Source organism: Homo sapiens, chromosome 18, assembly GCF_000001405.40.
Source record: "Homo sapiens chromosome 18, GRCh38.p14 Primary Assembly".
Taxonomy (NCBI): domain Eukaryota; kingdom Metazoa; phylum Chordata; class Mammalia; order Primates; family Hominidae; genus Homo; species Homo sapiens.
The window spans coordinates 58,772,682-58,793,974 of NC_000018.10; the positions used below are offsets into that span (position 1 = coordinate 58,772,682).

Here is a 21,293-nt window from a genome sequence, read left to right on the forward strand (position 1 = left end):
CAATAAATCCAACAATTCATGCTGTGAGGAGGAAGAGTCCAGCTGCTCAGTGTCCTTGGGTCAGATCTGGTTCTAGAATCTACCACAAGAGCTAACAACAGGACAGAAGATTTGCAATCAGCACCATCTCAGAGGTTCTGGGACACGTGGATGCCACCTCCTCTCTCAGAAGGGAGAGACTCCACTCCTTTCCAGTGGTGCCGATTCTGGGATGTTGGAAACTCGGAGGCATTCTGAAGCAGCTGCCTCTGCTGAGAATTTTTTTTTTTTTTTTTTTTTTTTTTTTTTTTTTTGAGATGGAGTCTCGCTCTGTCGCCAGGCTGGAGTGCAGTGGCGCCATCTTGGCTCACTGCAAGCTCCGACTCCCTGGTTCAAGCGATTCTCCTGCCTCAGCCTCCCGAGTAGCTAGGATTATAGGCATGTGCCACCACACCCAGCTAATTTTTGTATTTTTAGTAGAGATGAGGTTTCACCACATTGGCCAGGACAGTCTCGATCTCCTGACCTTGTGATCCACCCACCTCAGCCTCCCACAGTGCTGGGATTACAGGCATGAGCCACTGCGCCCGGCCCAAGAACTCTTATCTTGTCCTTGTTCTCACCTTACAAAACCCACTATTCTGCTATTTCCCAGTGGGTTACAAGACAGAATAAGAACACTTAAGATAGTGATACCAATGCTGGAGGTTTCGGTCAATCTCTCAAAATCAAGAGGATGATCAAAAGTGGGGAACTGTTAAATCAAGTTTAGCCTAAATCTGCCTCCTTACATATTTAAGTTCAGCCTACAGGTTTCTCTGTACATAATGAACTATAACCTAAATGGAGGTGTCAACAGACTGTAGCCTACTCTTGTGCCAACCACCTAGTTTCGGTCAAAGGGGGCTAACTGTTCAAACTACTCAAATAAGGTAAACACGAGCTGTAACCAATCCGGATGTTTCTTACCTCACTTCCATCTCACTTCCATCTCCTGTAAGTCCATTTCCATTTTCTGTCTATAAATCTTCTACCACACAGCTGCGCTGAAGTCTCTCTAAACCTACTCTAGCTCAAGAGGCTGCCCGATTTGTGAATTGTTCCTTGCTCAATTAAACTCTGTTACATTAAAAATAAAAAGGCTGGGCGCAGTGGCTCATGCCTGTAATCCCAGCACTTTGGGAGGCCAAGGTGGGCTGATCACCTGAGGTCAGGAGTTCAAGACCAGCCTGGCCAACATGGTGAAACCCCATCTCCACTAAACAGAATACAAAAATTAGCCAGGCGTGGTGGTGGGTACTGTAATCCCAGCTACTCAGGAGGCTGAGGCAGGAGAATCGCTTGAACCTGGGAGGCAGAGGTTGCAGTGAGCCAAGATCCCACGATTACACTCCAGCCTGGGTGACAGAGCAAGACTCCATCTCAAAAAAAAAAAAACAAAAAAAAAAACTGATTTACTTGAGAAGCAGGAGAGACTTCCACTTGGTGTATGCAGCTCCCAGCAGGATTGCTCTTACTAAACCAACACGAGAAACAGTTTCACCAGAGGCAGCCAAAAAGAACTAATTCGATGCACTTTGGTTGTTTTGAAATCCATTTTCCATTCTCAGTGATTGCCATAGCCAAGGGTAGCTCCCAGTGGCCCTGCATGGCCCACCCAGTTGGTAGCTGAATGGATTTCAAAGGGCTTCCGCTGCTTTCTAGAGAAAGAAACCTGTGCGGCTCCCAGGCCTCAAACTGTCCATAGCTCAGGAAAGTCCTGGGAATGCCCTCCTCGCCCCCAAGGTGGGGAACACATCAAGATACACAGCTCCCATTCGCACATGCAAACTCCCATGGCTGAAAGAGTCCTTAGTCCTTGGCCTTATAGGGATTGATGTTATGGAAGGATTCCATATTACAGAGAATTTCCTCTGCTTGATGTCGTTCAGTCTCCTTGCTTCAATTTCCCAGGGACAGAGGTTGAAAACAGCCCCCAAATATGTCCACATTCTGATCCTCAGAACCTGTGAATGTTACCTTATATGGCAAAAGGGATTTCTGCAGCTGATTAATCTTAAGATGGGGAAATTGTCCTGGATCATCTGGATAGGCCAATGGCATCACAAGCATCCTTATAGCAGGAATGTGGGAAGAACCAGACACAAAGAAGGCAGCCGGGCACGGTGACTCATGCCTGTAATCCCAGCACTTTGGGAGGCCAAGCCGAGCAGATCACTTGAGGCCGGAAGTTCAAAACCAGCCTGGGCAACATGGTGAAACCCCATCTCTACTAAAAATACAAAAATTAACTGGGCGTGGTGGTGGGCGGCTATAGGCCCAGCTACTCAGGAGGCTGAGGCAGAAGAATCACTTGAACCCGGGAGGTGGAGGGTGCAGTGAGCCGAGATCGCGCCACTGCACTCCAGCCTGGCAACAGAGTGAGACTGTCTCAAAAAAAAAAAAAAAAGAAAGAAGGCAGGCCAGGTGCGGCGGCTCACACCTGTAATCCCAGCACTTTGGGAGGCTGAGGCAGGCAGATCACGAGGTCAGGAGATCGAGACCATCCTGGCTAACACAGTGAAACACTGTCTCTACTAAAAATACAAAAAATTAGCCAGGTGTGGTGGCACGTGCCTGTAATCCCAGCTACTTGGGAGGCTGAGACACAAGAATCACTTGAACTCGGGAGGCAGAGGTTGCAGTGAGCCGAGATCAGGTCACTGCACTCCAGCCTGGGCGACACAGCAAGACTCCATCTCATAACAAAAAAAAAAAAAAGGCAATGTGACGGCAGAGGAGAGACTGCAGTGATGCTCTTTGAAGACGGAGGAAGAGACCATGAGCTGAGGAACCCAGGCAGCTAATGAAAGCTGGAAGCTGCCAAGAAGCGTCTCCCCTCAGAGCCTGCAGAAAAAAACAGCCCTGCCAATACCTTGACTTTAGCCCAGTGAAACTGACTTCAGATTTCTGTTCTCCAGAACTATCTAAGAATTTTTTTTTTTGAGACAGAGTCTTGCTCTGTCGCCCAGGCTGGAGTGCAATGGTGTGATCTCGGCTCACTGCAACCTCTGCCTCCCGGGTTCAAGTGATTCTCTTGCCTCAACCTCCCAAGTAGCTGGGATTACAGGTGCGTACCACTACACCCAGCTAATTTTTGTATTTTTAGAAGAGACAAGGTTTCATCAGGTTAGCCAGGCTGGTCTCAAACTTCTGACCTCAGATGATCCACCCACCTCGGCCTCCTGAAGTGCTGGGATTATAGGCCTGAACCACCGTGCCTGGCGGCTGCAGTCTTTTCTATGCACAGCTCTTGCTGCTTCCTGACATGAGACCTTCTCAGCACTTTCTGCCCTTTCCTGAGAAACTTTTTCCCCTCAACAATGAAATATGTATACTGAATACCCACTCCATGCCAGGCACTGTGCTAGCTGGTAGGGGACTAAGATGAATAACTTCAGGAAGCTGAACAGGACACATACCCCTTTTGGGGTTTAAATGTTTATATGGTTTGGATGTGTCCGCTCAAAATCTCATGTTGAAATGTGATCCCCAATGTGGTAGGTGGGGCCTAGTGGGAAGTGTTTGGGTGATGGGGGCGGATCCCTTATGAATGGCTTGGTGTTGTCCTCACAGGAATGAGCAAGTTCTCACTCTATGAGTTCACATGAGATCTGATTGTTTGAAAGAGGCTGGCACCTCCTCCTCCTCTTGCCATGTGACAGACTGGCTTCCTTTGGCCTTCCGCCATGATAAGCTTCCTGAGGACTCCCCAGAAGCAAATGTCAGCCCTATACTATCTGTACAGCCTGCAGAACTGTGAGCCAAATAAACTTCTTTTCTTTAAACAATCTAGCCTCAGGTATTTCTTCATAGCAACACAAAAAGACTAACACAAATATATAACTTATGTAATTTTTGGCCAGGTACGGTGGCTCACACCTGTAATCCTAGCACTTTGGGAGGCTGAGGCAGGCAGATCACTTAAGGTCAGGAGTTCAAAACCAGTCTGGCCAACATGGTAAAACCCTGTCTCTACTAAAAATACAAAAAAATTAGCCAGGCATGTAATCCCAGCTACTTGGGAAGCTGAGACAAGAGAATTGCTTCATCCCGGAAGGCGGAGGGTGCAGTGAGCCAAGATCACACCACTGCACTCCAGCCTGGGCAACAGAACGAGACTTTCTAAAAAAAAAAAAAAAACACAAAAAACAACAACAACAACAACAACACTTACATAATTTCTCTTTCTTTCCTATAGCAGATGTTGGTACTCTGCCCATATCTTGCAGGGCTCACCACTTCAATGTGCTCTTCCAAATGCCAATATCTGCATCTGTTTCCTAAGGGTTTTCTCCAGAGGTGGTTCTGCCTATGTACCCAGCAGCCTGGAGGTACCCAGGGATTCACACCAACTCCCGCCTCTTCAACCAGTGACTGATATGAGTTAGAGCATAAATCCATCAGCTCCTTCATCTCTTAGGTGGGATCACTGTTTTTGATACAGGGTCTCCCTCTGTCCCCCAGTCCAGAGCGCAGTGGTGCAATCACGGTTCACTGCAGCCTCAACCTCCTGTGCTCAAGCAATTTTCTTGCCTCAGCCTCCCGAGTAGCTGAAACTACAGGTGTGCCACCTCACCTGGCTAATTTTTAATTTTTTGTAGAGACGGAGCTCACTATGTTGCCCAGGTGGTCTCAAATTCCTGGCCTCAGGTGATCCTCTCACCTCAGCCTTCTAAAGTGCTGGGATTACAAGTGTGAACCACCTCACCTGGCTTATTTTCATGTAATCATCAGCTTGAACCTCAATTGAAATAATCAATTCTATCAAATTAGAAACGTGCAGGTTTACAGAGCACCCACTTGGGCCCTAGCTCAGCTCTGAGCAGCCTATTTTCGACTCTAAGAGCTGCAGGTGAAGATGAACTTCCCAGAAGCGTCCTTCTGGCTGGGGTTGGGGCTGTCCTGGAGCTGTGAGGGGCCATGCTGTCTTCAAAGACAGGCTGGAGGAGAGACCAGCAGACATCACCTTAGTCATATGGCTAAAGTAACATCACCAGTAATGAGACATGTCAACATCACATGCCCCTGATGTGGCCTGCTAAAGAGAGCACAACCTCACTTCTGAGATATTCTTGCAAAAAGGCATAACCTCCATCTAATCATGTGAAAACATCAAACTCAAACTGAAAGACGGTCTGCAGAATAAGTGTCAGGGGTCAAGGTCAGGAAAGAGAGGAACTGTCACAGGTAGGAGGAGGCTAAGCAGACAAGACAAGCGACTACACGCGCCATGTGTAGTTGAGATCTGGGAACACAAAAGGGACATTCATGGAAAGACTGGTAAAACCCGAATAAAGTCTGCAGTTTAGTAAAGAGGGCTGTCCTGATGTTAAGATGCTAACTTTAGGGGAATTTAGGTGGAGGGTAGATGGGAACTCTTTTGTAAGCTTTAAATCATCTTAAGATAAAAAGGCTTTTTAAAAAAAGCTTCAGCTGGGGTCCGGGCATGGTGGCTCGTGCCTGTAATCCCAGCACTTTGGGAAGCTGAGGCAGATGGATCACCTGAGGTCAGGAGTTCGAGACCAGCCTGACCAACTTAGTGAAACCCCATCCCTACTAAAAGTACAAAATTAGCCAGGCATGGTGGCACATGCCTGTAATCCCAGCTACTCAGGAGGCTGAGGGCAGGAGAATTGCTTGAACCCAGGAGGTGGAGGTTGCAGTGAGCCAAGATCAAGCCATCACGCTCCAGCGTGGGCAACAAGAGTGAAACTCTATCTCAAAAAAAAGAAAAAAATAAAAGGAAAAAAAAAAGCTTCAGCTGGGCACAGTGGCTCATGCCTGTAATCCCAACACTCTGGGAGGCTGAGGTGGGAGGATCACTTGAGCCCAGGAGTTTGAGACCAACCTGGGCAACATAGTGAGACCCTGTTTCTAAATTTAAAAAAAATAATAATTAATTAGCTGGACGTGGTGACACGCACCTCTGGTCCCAGCTACTCCAGAGGCTAAGGCAGGAAGATCGCTTGAGCCCATGAGTTCAAGGCTGCAGTAAGCCATGATCACGCCACTACACTCCAGCAGTGGCAACTGAGGGAGACCCTGCCTCCAAAGGAAAAAAAAAGCTTAAAGACAGGTAAAAGGAGACAAAGAACAAGCTGGAATTAGACTCTGTGGCAAGGAATGTGGCCTTAAGCTCTACTCCTAACAGTCACATGCATAGATGATAGACTTACTCTAAACTTTTTCACTCTTCTTTTTTTGCCTTTCTTCTGGACACTTAGAAATGTCTCCAACAGGCCAGGCACAGTGGCTCACACCTGTAATCCCAGCACTTTGGGAGGCCGAGGCGGATGGATCACGAGGTCAAGAGATCGAGACCATCCTGGCCAACAAGGTGAAACCCTGTCTCTACTAAAAATACAAAAAATTAGCCAGGCATGGTAGCGGGTGCCTGTAGTCCCAGCTACTAGGGAGGCTGAGGCAGAAGAATGGTGTGAACCCGGGAGGCTGAGCTTGCAGTAAGCCGAGATTGCGCCACTGCACTCCAGCCTGGGCAACAGAGTGAGACTCCATCTCAAAAAAAAAAAAAAAAAAAAAAAAAAAGAAATGTCTCCAACAGAAAGTGCTTAGAGTTCTGACCCAGGAGAAATAAGAGGTAAACAGCCTAGTTTCCAGCTTCACAGGCAGCTTAGGGGGAAGCAACTCAGCTTCAGAGAGCTGCACTTAACTCTTCACCACCACGACTGACACAGGCACAAGAACCCACCTGCCTCTCCAAGGCCCTGAAAGCCCACCCGATGTCGCTTTCCACACTCCTATCCTACATCCTCCTCTAATCCTCACATTGACTTGATTTCACCTATATTCAAATACTGGGGAGGAAAAGAAGGGACGATGTGAGCCCTCCAGTCCTCCCTGTCACCCTGCTCGTGGACTAATCCTGAGTCATTTTTCACAACTGTATTCCTTGCCGGTGTTGAGGCAAATAAGTCCGCCTTTACCTAGAACATACAGTTCAATACCAAATTGTTTACAACAGTTTTATTGCTCCAGACTTTGAGGGAGGCTTTGAAGAACTGCCTGTACCTTGTCCTAACTCTATTACTCAGATTAATGGTCGGCCAGCGTTCCCTTTCTGGTCAGTCACTTCCAGGGGATTTTGCAAAGACTCATGGGTTAGTATTTGGAAAGAACTTAAACTTCCTCATAAATAAAAATTCTTATAGCTGAAAATTCTGATGCCTTATAATGAGTCCTTATAAAATTCCAAGGCACTTGAAAATGTACATTGCTCCCAAGCATCGTTATTACTTATATGCATAAGCAGCTACCATTAGGAACACATATGATGTGATAGGCAGTGAGTTATGCTCAGTATGTGCGTTAGTCCGTTCTCACACTGCTATGAAGAACTACCTGACACTGGGTAATTTATGAACAAAAGAGGTTTAATAGACTTACAGTTCCACAGGCTGTACAGGAAGCATGGCTGAGAGGCCTCAGGAAACTTACAATTATGGCAGAAGGCGAAGGAGACGCAAGCACGCCCTCACAATGGCGGAGCAGTAGAAAGAAGAAAGGGAGAGGTGCCACACCCTTTTAAACCGTCAGATCTCGTGAGAATTCACTCACTATCACGAGAACAGCAAGGGGGAAATCCGTTCTCATGATCCAATCGCCTCCCACCAGGCCCCTCCTCCAACTCAACATGAGATTTGGGTGGAGACACAAATCTAAACCATATCCTTATGCATAGGATCTCATTCAGCTGAACCCTGTTGCTGCATCGATGTAGGGAGATAAAGATCACCTGTGCCCTGGACTTCCTGAGTCACTGGTTGAAAAAGAAAGCAGGCGAGGCACAGTGGCCCACACCCATAATCCCAGCACTTTGGGAGGCCAAGGCAGGAGGATTGCTTGAACCCAGAAGTTCGAGACCAGCCTGGGCAGTATAAGGAGACCTCCCTCCAACCCCAGTCTCTACAAAACTTTTTTTGTTTTTTTTGAGACAGAGTCTTGCTCTGTTGCCCAGGCTGGGGTGCAGTGGCACGATCTTGGCTCACTGCAACCTCCACCTCCCAGGTTCAAGCAATTATCCTCCCTCAGCCTCCTAAGTAGCTGGGATTACAGATATGTGCCACCATGCCCGGCTAATTTTTTGTATTTTTAGTAGAGAAGGGGTTTCACCATGTTGGCCAGCCTAGTCTCGAACTCCTGACCTCAGGCAATCCAACTGCCTCAGCCTCCCAAAGTGCTGGGATTACAGGTGTGAGCCACCGCGCCCGGCCTCTACAAAACATTTAAAAATTAGCCAGATGTGGTGGCTCACACCTGTAGTCCTAGCTCTGAGGCAACAGGATCACTTGGGCACAAAAGGTCAAGGCTGCAGTGAGCCATGATTGTGCCACTGCACTCCAGCCTGGGTGACAGAGAGAGAGCCTGTCTCAAAAAAAGAAAAAGCAAGGAGCACACTTGTTTTTGCACCTTCTGGGAGGACTGAGGCCACCAGCAGTGGATGGAGCGGACAGAACTCCCAGGCACTGTGCCTGGCCCAGGGCAGGAACTCAAAATGCAAATGGATGGCATTTCTTTTAATTATCGCAAAGTGAAATGAGCCGTTACTGGAGATACCAAGCATGGGTCAGGGAAGCAGAAATTGATATTGATAATGCAGGGTTCTCTGCTCTTCCGTCGTTGTAGCTAAAACATGCACAGTATTGACAGAGGCTGGAATCAGCTCCTGAAATCAAGCCCTTTCTTTGGCTATTCTCTGCCTCCTCAAGTCCACAGCTTCTTTCCGAAAGAAGCCCAGTTGTCTGGGTTTGAAGGCCCTGAGCACCAGGAGCGCGTTTGGGAGATGTTATCGGAGTGCTCTCTGTCTCACCCAGAGTTTCCCGGGAACACTGTCGAACACTCCTCAGAAGTACATTTATGGTTTGGCTCATTTTCAGAGAAAAGGACATGAGGGAGCAGAGTCAAAGAGTCAAAAGAGCAGACTTTCGACTGTGGGAACCAGAGTCACTAAGTACAGAGTAACACAACTTGTGTTACTGATGCTCGAGACTCAGCGGGGCCTTTGCACGTGAATAGCCACCAGGTGGCAGTGTTATTCTCTCGAAAGGCTAAAGGCTGTGTGTGGCATGTGCCTGTGTGTGTGTATGCCTTGGTGGTGGTGTGTGTATAATGTGCAGTGTAGTGTGTGTGGTGTGTATGTGCGTGGTGTGTGATTATGTGCATGATGTGTGCGTGTGATGTTGTATGTGTGTGGCATGGGGTAAGGGGTGTGTATATGGTGTGTGTGATTCAGTGTGCGTGTGTGAGGTGGTGTGCATGGTATATGGTGTGGCATGTGGCCTCTTGTGTGCACAACCCTGTGTCGAAGCTGGGAGACAGCTTCCTTCTCATCCACCCACTACCACTCAGCCCAACAACCAGCTCACTCTCCTTCACCCTCTGCCACTCACGCACACACCCTCCTCTTGCCACCATCCCTCTTCTCCATTTCTAGCCAAAAATTAGCAGGGAGGAGCCAGAAAGCCCAACAGAGACCGTGAAACAAATATCAAATTAAAAGTATTTTACTGGCTGGGCACAGTGGCTCCCTCCTGTAATCCCAGCACTTTGGGAGGCCGAGGCCGGTGGATCACTTGAGTCCAGGAGTTCGAGACCAGCCTGGGCAACATGGCAAAACCTCATCTCTACAAAAAAAATATTTAAAAAATTAGCCAGGTATGGTGGCATGCACCTGTGGTCCCAGCTATATGGGAGGCTGAGGTGGAAAAATCACTTGAGCCCAGGAGGTCAAGGCTGCAGTGAGCCAAGGTCACACCACTGTACTCCAGCCTGGGCAACAGAGTGAGACCTTGCCTTAAAAAAAAAAAAAAGAAACACACCTTGGGAAGGACAATGGGACCTCAGTTATCCTCTCCTTGTTGCCCCATTCTCTCTCCCACTTGTTCTCGCCCCGACACCCGAGTTGCTCTTCCTAGGAGCCCACTCCCTCTGACTCCCCAAGCCCAGCTAGGCAGCGGTTAATGCTTTCCAGAAAGAGGTCCCCAAATTTCCTTCATTGGCATGTGCGTTTGGAAAGAGGACCCTAGACAGAGCAAAGACCTCAGAAGAAGCATCCTCCGACACTGGCACTTCAGGCCCAGTTCATGTTAGACTACCTGGATCTAGAGGACACTTCATGGGGAAGCTTCCCATTGCCCTGAGATCACAGCAGTGCAGGAAAGCCCACCTCCTCTGTGTTTGTGGAAAGCTGGGTCCTGGGTATTGTTCCTCTATGTGGGTGATGCATTCAATAATGAAAAGGGCCATCATGAAATGGGTGACTGAGTCTCCCCAGTGTGTATTTAAGAGCATTGCAGGCCGGGCACGCAGCTCACCACAGAGGCCGAGGCTGGGTGGATGGCTTGAGCCCAGGAGTTCGAGACCAGCCTGGGCAACATGGCAAAATCCTGTCTCTACGAAAAATGCAAAAATTAGCCAGGCACGGTGGTGCATACCTGTAGTCCTAGCTACTCAGGAGGCTAAGGCTGGCGGATCAACTGATCCCAGGAGGTGGAGGCTGCAGTGAGCTGAGATTGTGCCACTGCACTCCAGCCTAGACAACAGAGCCAGACCCTATCTCAAAAAAAAAAAAAAAAAAAAAAAAGATATTTTCTAGGTCGAAATAATGATCTCTAAGAAAGTGGCAATATGAGAATTACTAAAAACATCAATATATCCCTCCAGAAGACATTTATGTTCTTTTTAAGACACTTAATGGCGTTTAGAATATATGCTAACATCTTTTTCATCGGGCATGGTCAGAAAAGTGGTCACTTTTACAATAATCGTGATCTCCATTTGGAAGCTCAAACCTTTACATATCAAGGCATTTAAATATCACTACTGGGGCCAGATGCAGTGGCTCACACCTGTAATCCCAGCACTTTGGGAAGCTGAGGCAGGATGATCACTTGAGGTCAGACATTCAAGACCAGCCTAGCCAACATGGTGAAACCCTGTCTCTACTATTAAAAAAAGAAATACAAAAATTAGCCAGGTGTGGTGGCACACACCTGTAGTCCCAGCTACTCAGGAGGCTAAGGAATGAATCGCTGAGAATCGCTTGAACCCAGGAGGCAGAGGTTGCAGTGAGCTGAGGTCACCCCACTGCACTCCAGCCTGGGCAACAGAGCGAAACTCCATCTCTAAATAAATAAATAAATAAATAAATAAATAAATAAATAAATATATGCCAGGCGCGGAGGCTCACGCCTGTAATCCCAGCACTTTGGGAAGCTGAGACAGACGGATCGCCTGAGGTCAGGAGTTCGAGACCAGCCTGACCAACATGGAGAAACCCCATCTCTACTAAAAATACAAAATTAGCCAGGCATGGTGGCACATGCCTGTAATCCCAGCTACTCAGGGGGCTGAGGCAGGAGAATTGCTTGAACCCAGGAGGCGGAGGTTGCAGTGAGCAAAGATTGCGCCACTACATTTCAGCCTGGGCAACAGAGCGAAACTCTGTCTCAAAATAAATGAATAAATAAATTAAATAAATAAAAATAAATATCACTATTGGCAAAAGCTTTCTAACATGCATTGCCTATCTAGGTCACAGTTTGCTAATGTCTTGTAGCCTGGATGGTTTTATTGATCCCCGAGAGAACTTTTATTATCCTGAGGGAAAACAGACTGGAAAGAGGACGGGAAATTTGTTTGGCTTTGGAATAGTGGTGGGGGAGGAATAAATGGGAAGAAGGAACGTGGGGAGAGATGGACGCTAAGCAGGAGAGATGGGGCGAGGGAGAGGGGACCACAGCCACGCAGAATGGAAGAGCAAGAAGAGCAGGGAGAGCGTGAAGGCGTGAGAACCGAGGCAGGGCAGGGGACTTCAGAGGCAGAAGCCCTTCAGAAGCTCTGCAAATCCAAATGCTAAGAAGAACATGCAGTCATTTTGACAAGGGCAGGTCAGAAAATGCCACGCGTGCGCACAGAGGATGGAAGGCCAGGACCCGCCGCCAAGCAGGGCTGTCGGGGACTGGTCGCCTCCTCTGGGCAGCGTCAAAGGGCAAGATTGGTCTGGTCCTCTTTCTAACACCTCCCACCCGGGATGCAGCCAAGAGTGGCTGCAGCCTAATTTTCTACATGTAAACAATGACCTCAGTGATGCCCACGGGGCCCCTCTCTGGCCTTCTCCCCCTGGGAAAAGACTGAGTTCTCGACGGGCATCCCCTCCCCCTCCGGAACCAAGGGCTCTGGGATGTTGACAGCCCCCGCCACCTCTGAGAAGGGCAGGCCGTGGAAAACCATCTCCTCCCTTCCTTCCCCCTCTGCCTTTCCTAGCTGGGGCCTCTGCACAATGCAGCTGGGCCAGGCCCTGTTGCTAAGGGAACCAGCAGAGGGCCCAGCCCCCTCCCCATAGAAATAACCCCAAGAGAGGAGTGAAGGATTCACTTGCCCTCATCTCCAGGCTTTGGAGGAGGGTAGGTGCCTGGCCAGCAGAGTGGCCACTGCTCACTGGCCCAGAGGAAGCAAGGCCACCAGCCTGATCCCACTTCTCCCTCCGGCCCATCTTCACTCCCCTCTCCTCAACCACAAGCCCCGCCAAAATAGAGACCCCCGGCTTTGCTCCCCTGCTGCAGGAAGGGAGAGCCACCGCCAGACACTGCCTGCCTGGTCCTCCTGTTCTGATCTCACCCGGTGCTTGGAATCAAAGAGGACCTGGCTTCCCTCTCGGGATACGTGATTTTCTTTGGTTGTGACTCATTGTCTGTAAATGTTGCTGGAGATGAATCAGACCCCACCTGCTACCTGCGGCTGAGATGCTGCCAACAGACACAGAAAGGTGTGCCGCAGCCACCACCCGCCTCCTCTCTCCCAGCTCTGAAGGAGCCCACAGCTCCCATGGGATGAGGTCTTCATCGTGGCTTTCAAGGCCTTCCTTAGAGCCTTTGGATCAGGGAAGCCTGCCCTAAACTGCACATTAGTGTCCATGACTCACCTTTGAAAAATTCCCATAACCAGGCCTCACCCGACCCTGCAAATACAGATGCAGTTACTCTGGGCAGGGACTCAGAGCAAGGAGTTTTTTAAGTGCCCCAGGTCCTGGGCTGAGAGCACCTAGTGGCTGTCTCAGATGCTCTAGCTCAGCCGAGATCCAGTGGCTTGTCCAAGTTCACATTGTCGGCTGGAGAGCTGGAGCAACAACACAGGATTCATGCCTTGAGCACAGTGTTCTATCATAGGATTTTCCTACTTAAAAAAGTAATTTGATAAAATTATTTTGGAAATGTATACAATATAGAAAGGTAAAAAGAAGTCCATTAAATCACCCCTAAACCTCAACACCCGGAGGTAAGCACTGTTAACATTGTGGGTTGTGTTTTTATTTATTTTCAAATATTTAATGTGTAAAACAGGTCATACAGAACACACAGCTGTGCGTCCTGCCCAGCCAAACTGACCATGTTTTTAGCAGGCTGTTGGCAAAGAGTGTCAAGAATATCTTAGAGCTGGGCATGGTGGCACGTACCTATAATCCCAGCTATTCAGATGGCCGAGGTGGGAGGATAGCTTGAGCCCAGGAGGTCAAGGCTGCAGTGAACTATAATTGCATCACTGCCCTCCAGCCTGGGCAACAGAGTGAGACCCTGTCTCTAAAATATATACATATATATTTTTTAATTGACATTTTTCAGCCCACTAATTCCATTTCTAAGAATCTATTCTGGCTGGGCACAGTAGCTCACGCCTGTAATCCCAGCACTTTGGGAGGCCGAGGCAAGTGGGTCACCTGAGGTCAGGAGTTCAAGACCAGCCTGGCCAACATGGTGAAACCCTGTCTCTACTAAAAATACAAAAAAATTAGCTGGTCATGGTGGCGGACACCTGTAATCCCAGATACTTGGGAGGCTGAGGCAGGAGAATCACTTGAACCCAGGAGGCAGAGGTTAGAGTAAGCGAAGATCACACCATTGCACTCCAGCCTGGGCAACAAGAGTGAAACTCCATCTCAAAAAACAAAGAATCTGTCTTCCAAGAATGGTCAGATGTAAGCGAAAAATTATTTACAGAGACTTTATTTTATTTTATTTTATTTATTTTCTGAGACAGGGTCTTGCTTTGTCACCCAAGCTAGAGTGCAGTGGTGTGATCATAGCTCACTGGAACCTCGACTTCTTGGGCTCAAGCCATCCTCCCCATTCCTCCCAAAGCACGGGATTACAGGTGTGAGCCACTGTACCCAGCCAGCTTTCATTTTAATGTAATTTATAATAGCCAAAATTGCCAACCTCATAAATGTAAAAAGTTAGAGGAATCGTCTAATAAATTGTAGTTTTGCATGGAATACTTTGAGGTCATTAAAACCACATTTTCAAAAAATGTGTGATGCCTATGATAATTGTCCTCTCCCACTATCCCTCCCTCCATGTTTGCCTCGATGCTCAATGCCTGTAAGCACGTGTTCCAGGAATACCCCTCCTCTGATCCTACTGTAACCCCTTTGAATGCTACGAGGCCAATTGATCTTTCTCTTTCAGATCACTCGTAGCATATATTGTCAGTACCAAGTGTTTTGGACGGTTTTTTCATTTTACTATTATTTACTATATACTACTTCTATTTGCTTCTCTGGCATGTATGTAAGAATGTGTGTGTGAGGCTGGGCACAGTGACTCATGCCTGTAATCCCAGCACTTTGGGAGGCCAAGGCGGGCAGATCATCTGAGGTCAAGAGTTCAAGATCAGCCTGGCCAACATGGCGAAACCTCGTCTCTACTAAAAATACAAAAATTAGCCAGGTGTAGTGGCGTGCGCCTGTAGTCCTAGCTACTCGGGAGGCTAAGGCAGAAGAATCGGTTGAACCAGGGAGGCAGAGGTTGCAGTGAGCTGAAATCTTGCCACTGCACTCCAGCCTGGGCGACAGAGTGAGATTCCGTCTCAAAAAATAAATAAATATATAAATAATGTGTGTGTGCGTACATTTGTGTCCATGTGTGATTGTGTATGTATTTGTAAGAGAGAAAAGGAACTCAGAATTACCAACGGCTCGAGGGCTGGAAGTGTGACTTACACATCTTCATTCTTTGCCAGCTCTTCAGTTTCAGCATATCTTAAACTAAATTCATCTCCCTCAAATCTGTGCCAATGCCACAAAAACCTTTTTTTTCCGTGCGCAAGACTTTCTAAACTGGCTCTTCCTCCTGCATTGCCAGTTCATTCGGTGATATCACCCCTTCTCCTTTGGGCCACCCAGATTTAAATATTTTGGAATTCCTGACCGTGGAATCCTACCATTGTGTTTTTTTTAAGTCTTGTCATGTGTCTTTTTCTGTTCCGTTGCCACCATCGCAGGCAGCAATTTTCCATCACTTCAACTCTGTCTCCGCTGAGCCATCTGCTGGCAGACTCTTGGCCCTTCAGACTATCTCGTGTTCAACCACTTGTTTCAGATATTTTTACCCCATCACTTCTCTGGCTAAAAAGCCACCGATGGCCACTTATAAACGGTCATTATTGAATGAAGTGCTAACTTCTTATCCTGGCACATGGGTCCCTCCTTAATTTGATCCCAACCCATCCATCTTCCTGGTTTTATTTTATTTATTTATTTAGAGATGGGGTCTCGCTATGTCGCCCAGGCTGGCCTCAAACTGCTGGGCTCAAGTGATCCTCCTGCCTCAGCCTCCCAAACTACTGAGATTACAGGCGTGGGCCACCACACCTGGCCCTTCTTCCTATTTTATATCACACCACTTCCTGACTAATATCCCAAGCTCCTGCCACGCTGGTGTAAGCACCAACCCCAGAACACACCCTGTGTCCTTGGGCCTCCTCCGCTTACTACTGACTGGTGAGATCTTGGATAATTTGCTTAACCACTTCCACCTTAACCCCTCATCTATAAAATGGGGATAATGCTAATGACACCTTCTTGAACTCCTGGCCTCAAGCAATCCTCCCATCTAGGCTTCCCAATGTGCTGGGATTACAGGCATGAGCCACCACGCCTGGAAACACCTTCTTTACAGGGATTGTGGTGAAAGCAAAGCAGATGCAAGAATGCAACAACCATCATTTATTTGCTCACAGTTTTGCAACTGGGGCTAAGCAGGCAGGGACTGCTTGGCAGCTGAGGTGGATCAACAGGGCTGGAGGATCTACCTCCATGTGGATCACTCGGAGTTGGTGACTTGGTGCTATTGGCTGGGAGTTCAGCTGGTACCATGGTCCTGGAGCCTCAATTGTACTCCACTTGGACTTTCCAGGTGGCTTAGGGACTTCCCATAGCATGTCAGCTGGGTCTTTCTAAGAGAGGGGAAGCAGAAATTGCCAGGCCTCTTAAGGATTAGACCTAACTGGCAGAGCATAACTTCCATCACATCCTATTTGTCAAAGCCGTCATAGGCCAGCCCAGATCCCAGCGGGTGGAGAGATAGGCTCCACCTCTCCAAAAGGGAGTGGTAGGTGCATGGGAGGAAAGAAAAAATAATGACAGCTATCTTTGAGATAAGTCCCCACCTTAGGGTTTCTGCAGCCTTGTCTAGTAGAAGAGATGCTCAACAGTTTGCATTTACTGAACTCTTAAAGCTTGTTACTTTTGTCCCAAGATTGCTTGGATTGCTGCCACAAATCATGATTTGACTTTTTCCTCTTGCTGTGATTAGTCATGATATTCCAAGTAAATATTAAGCTCTTTGAGGGCAAGACTCTTATCTACAGTAAACAATTTTTATTCCCCCCACAGAGATGTACACATTGTTAACTGTGAATATGCAGCATTTGACTTATTTTCAGCCCTAGCACTTGATTTATTGACAGCCGTAGTACACGGAAGGGAACACAAGAGTTGCTTTTATTGAATTTTTGTTGGGTCAGGAGGCTTTCTGGGCTCTGAGGAAGACTCAGAGAAACGGCTCCTTTGTTCTCCAGCCCTGCCCAGCCCAGAGCCTTCCAGAAGGGAAAACTCAGTGAGGAGGCTGCAGACTGCCGAGGGCGTGTTGAGGAAATTCCATTCAAGACCCTCATTTCCGAAAGTGCTCTGTGATTAGCCCGGCTTTGTGCCAGCCCCAGTCCAGAGGCAGAGAGGCCAGCCCTTAGGTCACCAAAAGCATCAGGAAAATACAAATGCGGGCCCCTTTACAGCCCGGCACAGGAGGTTAAAGGATTTGCTTTGTAGTTTGTTTATCTCACAGACTGAAGCCAATTATCCCAATTACTAAAAAAATAAAATAAAGTTTACTACAGATTGTATTTTTAAGTTCATTTAATCTCCAAAACAGGCTGCTACACACAGTTTTCCTTTGGTTCCAACAACTCACGCCCAGTCTCTGTGGCAGGGAAGACAGCCCCTAAGGGTCACATGTCCAAGGGCCAGGGGAGGTCAGAGGTCACTTAATGGTTCCCAAATGCGCTAGCAAGTAGTCATAGATTTGAACTTTGCATTGTTGCTGCGGACCCAGGGCCTTCTTGGGAGGGGAGAGCTGGGGGAGCTATCTCTGCAGTTCAAAGGCGGGCGCTGTGGTTTCACTTGGCTTAAGGTTTCAGTCCTTGAATCCTAAACACTATCCCCACTGGCCTCCTGTGCATGGGAGGTGGGGGGTTGGGACTTGGGATGGACATTCTGTGTAACCCCAAACTGCAAGCCCTGCAGCTTCACGGTGGCCTCGGAGCTGGGAGACCCTCAGGATCAGCATCAGAGGCTGAAAATACTGGTGACTATTTTCAGAAGCCCATGAGTATTGATGCAGAATGCAGAAGGCCCAGACCAGCCAAGAGCTCCTCACCTCCAAGCCCAGTCAGGACTCTGGGATTCAGAAATGCACCCCAAGTTCTAGCCTTAACCACCAGCAGAGTGGGTGTTTGCTAGACAGTGTGAGTTGAAAAGGAAGTCAAAGGTCCCAGATGGTATGGTCCCCTCAAATAAGCATCTCCACATATACCTGAAAATCTACCATAAGTATGATGTATATTTATATCTATTGACATGGAAAGATGTGTTAAGATACAGAAAGTGCAAAATGCAAGCCACAGATCTGCCAAGGCGGGCAGATCACCAGAGTTCAGGAGTTCGAGACCAGCCTTGACCAACATGGTGAAACCCCATCTCTACTAAAAATACAAAAATTAACTGGGCATCATGGCATCCACCTGTAATCCCAGCTACTAGAGAGACTGAGGCAGGAGAATTGCTTGAACCCGGGAGGTGGAGGTTGCAGTGAGCCAAAATTTCACCATTGCACTCCAGCCTGGGCAACAAGAAGGAAACTCCATCTCAAAAAAAAAAAAAAAAAAAAGGAAAGAAAAGAAAAGAAAAAGAAAAAAGAAAACACTAGCCTCGGGCTTAGAAAGTTTGCTGAAAATGAAGAATGAAGATTTTCTAGGCACTACTCAGACCTGTTAAATGAGAATCTTGGAGGCTTCGGGAGAGCTGAGGAAGGGTGTTTTTGTTTTGTTTTGTTTTTTTCTTAATTGAGACTGAATCTGGCTGTGACGCCCAGGCTGGAGTGCAATGGCACAATCTCAGCTCACTGCAACCTCCACTTCCCAGATTCAAGCAATTCTTCTGCCTCAGCCTCCCAAGTAGCTGGAATATAAGCACGTGCCACTATGCCCAGCTAATTTTTGTATTTTTAGTAGAGACGGGGTTTCACCATGTTGGCCAGGCTGGTCTTGAACTCCTGACCTCAAATGATCCGCCTGCCTCGGCATCCCAAAGTGCTGAGATTACAGGCGTGAGCCACCACACCTGGCCCAAGGAAGGTATTTTCAACACCCTCTTCAGGCAGTTCTAAAGTAATGCGATCCACCTGTTAGGGACTAAATGTTTGTGCCCCTCCCCCGCAAATTCATAGGTTGAAATCCCTACCCCCAAGGTAATGGTATTAGAAGGTAGAGCCTTTGGGAGGTGATTATGTCATAAGTGGAGCTTTGGGAATGGGATTAGTTCACTTATAAGAGGAACATCCCAGAGAAGTCAGCATCTGCAACCTGGAAGAGAGACCTCACGAGAACCTGATCACGCTGGTACCCTAATCTCAGACTTCCAGCCTCCAGACCTGTGAGAAACAAAATTCTGTTGTTTTATAAGGCATGCCATCTATGGTAATTGCTTATAGCAGCCTGCACCATCTGAGTGGATGTTTGCTTTCTTTAAAGTTTCTTTGACCAGGCGCGGTGGCTCACGCCTGTAATCTCAGCACTCTGGGAGGCCAAGGGTGGTGGTGGATCACTTGAGGTCAGGAGTTCAAGACCAGCCTGGGCAAAATGGTGAAACCCTGTCTCTACTAAAAATACAAAAATTAGGCGGGCGTGGTGGTGCACACCTGTAATCCCAGCTACTCGGGAGGCTGAGGCAGGAGAATCACTTGAACCCAGGAGACAGGTTGCAGTGAACCAAGATTGTGCTGCCACTCTCCAGCCTGGGTGACAGAGCAAAACTCCATCTCAAAAAAAAAATGTGACCACTCAACCCCTCTGTCCCGGCCTTGCTGTCCCTGCTGGTCCTTCCCCCCTCCCTCCTTCTTATATGTGCCCAGGAACCAGAAATAGCCTATCAACCCTGAAGGAGTCTAACAGGCCTTGCCACTTACCACCAGTCCCCAGCAGAGCTTCCCGGAATCATTGTCCTCTCCCTTCCCCTTGTTCGGTTTTCTCTTTCACTTTCCTAGGCTCTTTGGCTAGGACTGGCTGCAGAAGTTGATTTGCATAATTATTTAACCCTGGTAAGAACGAAAGCTGTAAACCAAATTAGGTATGCCAGCAGGTAGCAGGTATAGAAGAAGAATCACGGGGTACATCTGACCCTCGTCCTTGCTTCTCGTGATCCTAGGTAAGTTATTTAACCTCTCTAAGCCTCTGTGTACTCAGCTGTGAAATGGGGATAGTCACACCTGTTCATGGAGTTGTTGTTAAGAAGTTTAAAAATAAAATCAGCTTTGGGAGGCCGAGGCAGGCAGATCACGAGGTCAGGGGTTCAAGACCAGCCTGGCCAACATGGTGAAATCCCATCTCTACTAAAAATACAAAAATTAGCTGGACGTGGTGGCAGGCACCTGTAATCCCAGCTACTCGGGAGGCTGAGCCAGGAGAATTGCTTGAACCCGGGAGGCGGAGGTTGCAGTGAGCCGAGATCGTGCCGCTGCCCTCCAGCCTGGGCAACAGAGCGAGACTCCATCTCAAAAATAAATAAATAAAATAAAATCAGGCTAGGCATGGTGGCTCATGCCTGTAATCCCAGCACTTTGGGAGGCCAAAGCAGGTGAATCACTTGACCAGGAGTTCAAGACCAGCCTGGCCAACATGGTGAAACCCCGTCTCTACTAAAAGTACAAAAAAATTAGCTGGGCGTGGTGGTGCACGCCTGTAATCCCAGCACTCGGGAGGCTGAGGCATGAGAATCGCTTGAACCTGGCAGGCGGAGGTTGCAGTGAGCCGAGATTGTGCCACTGCCCTCCAGCCTGGGCAAAAGAACGAGACTCAATCTCAAAAAATAAATAAAATTAAAAATAAAAATAAAATCCATATCTATGCAAAGCACCTGGTGCCTGCATGGTAGGCACCATGGATCACATGGTTGCTAAAGTAGCTATTACCAACCTGAATCAAATAACTCTTAGAAAAAAAGATCTGAGGCACATTCTCAAACTCCCCCATTAGTAATAATAAACTTTATTAAGTCTTCTCCCCAGATTTTCCAAGTTAGTCCCTCTCAGGTTAAGGCCCAGGAAAGTGACATTTGGCAGCCACTTGAGATAACTGATCACACTTTGAGAAACTCTAGTCTAAGGCTTTGATGAGCAAGACAGAAATAACTGCAGTTACTGAGTTCTCCTGCTTAGTTTATTACTAAGCAGTCAGCCATTTGTATTGCACAACATCACAGTTGGCTAAGGTTTGGTGGATCTAAGCTGGGCCCAGCCAGGCTTGGTTCCAAGCTGGAGTTTGCATCCAGGTGTGTTTCATATGTCCCTCATCCTTCCTGGACTGGCAAGTCCCCAAAGCACGTTCCTCTCATGTCACCATTGCTAACATTCCACCAGCCAAGCAAGTACAAGCCATGTCCAACATCCAAGGAATGACTACTGTAACATACCTCAGAAGCATAAAGAAAAATTGGCCAGGAATGGTGGCTCATGACTAATCCCAACACTTTGGAAGGCCGAGGTGGACGAATCACTTGAGGCCAGGAGTTCGAGACCAGCCTGGCCAACATGGTAAAACCCCGCCTCTACTAAAAATACAAAAATTAGCCAGGCATGGTGGTGTGTGCCTGTAGTCCTAGCTACTCGGGAGGCTGAGGCAGAAGAATTGCTTGAACCCGGAGGCGGAGA

The 21,293-nt window shown here is 47.9% G+C and overlaps 1 long non-coding RNA gene across 3 annotated transcripts in view, besides 4 other annotated features; it reads right to left on the bottom strand.

Moving 5' to 3' along the window:
- The window catches only part of LOC105372146 (uncharacterized), a 107,606-nt gene extending 100,069 nt beyond the window's left edge, over positions 1-7,537 (bottom strand). For all 3 annotated transcript variants that reach the window (XR_935537.3, XR_935536.4, XR_007066391.1), the window contains exon 1: positions 7,477-7,537. This is a non-coding gene — a long non-coding RNA (uncharacterized LOC105372146). The remainder of the gene's footprint in view (positions 1-7,476) is intronic.
- Positions 2,278-2,779: an enhancer, noted in NCBI's record as "H3K27ac hESC enhancer chr18:56442191-56442692 (GRCh37/hg19 assembly coordinates)". NCBI's record gives its function as "activates a minimal SCP1, AML or CMV promoter by ChIP-STARR-seq in naive H9 embryonic stem cells {active_cell/tissue: H9 hESC(naive)}" and the evidence as "EXISTENCE:reporter gene assay evidence [ECO:0000049][PMID:30033119]".
- Positions 9,369-10,131: an enhancer, noted in NCBI's record as "H3K27ac hESC enhancer chr18:56449282-56450044 (GRCh37/hg19 assembly coordinates)". NCBI's record gives its function as "activates a minimal SCP1, AML or CMV promoter by ChIP-STARR-seq in primed H9 embryonic stem cells {active_cell/tissue: H9 hESC(primed)}" and the evidence as "EXISTENCE:reporter gene assay evidence [ECO:0000049][PMID:30033119]".
- Positions 10,132-10,893: an enhancer, noted in NCBI's record as "H3K27ac hESC enhancer chr18:56450045-56450806 (GRCh37/hg19 assembly coordinates)". NCBI's record gives its function as "activates a minimal SCP1, AML or CMV promoter by ChIP-STARR-seq in primed H9 embryonic stem cells {active_cell/tissue: H9 hESC(primed)}" and the evidence as "EXISTENCE:reporter gene assay evidence [ECO:0000049][PMID:30033119]".
- Positions 16,435-17,240: an enhancer, noted in NCBI's record as "H3K27ac-H3K4me1 hESC enhancer chr18:56456348-56457153 (GRCh37/hg19 assembly coordinates)". NCBI's record gives its function as "activates a minimal SCP1, AML or CMV promoter by ChIP-STARR-seq in naive H9 embryonic stem cells {active_cell/tissue: H9 hESC(naive)}" and the evidence as "EXISTENCE:reporter gene assay evidence [ECO:0000049][PMID:30033119]".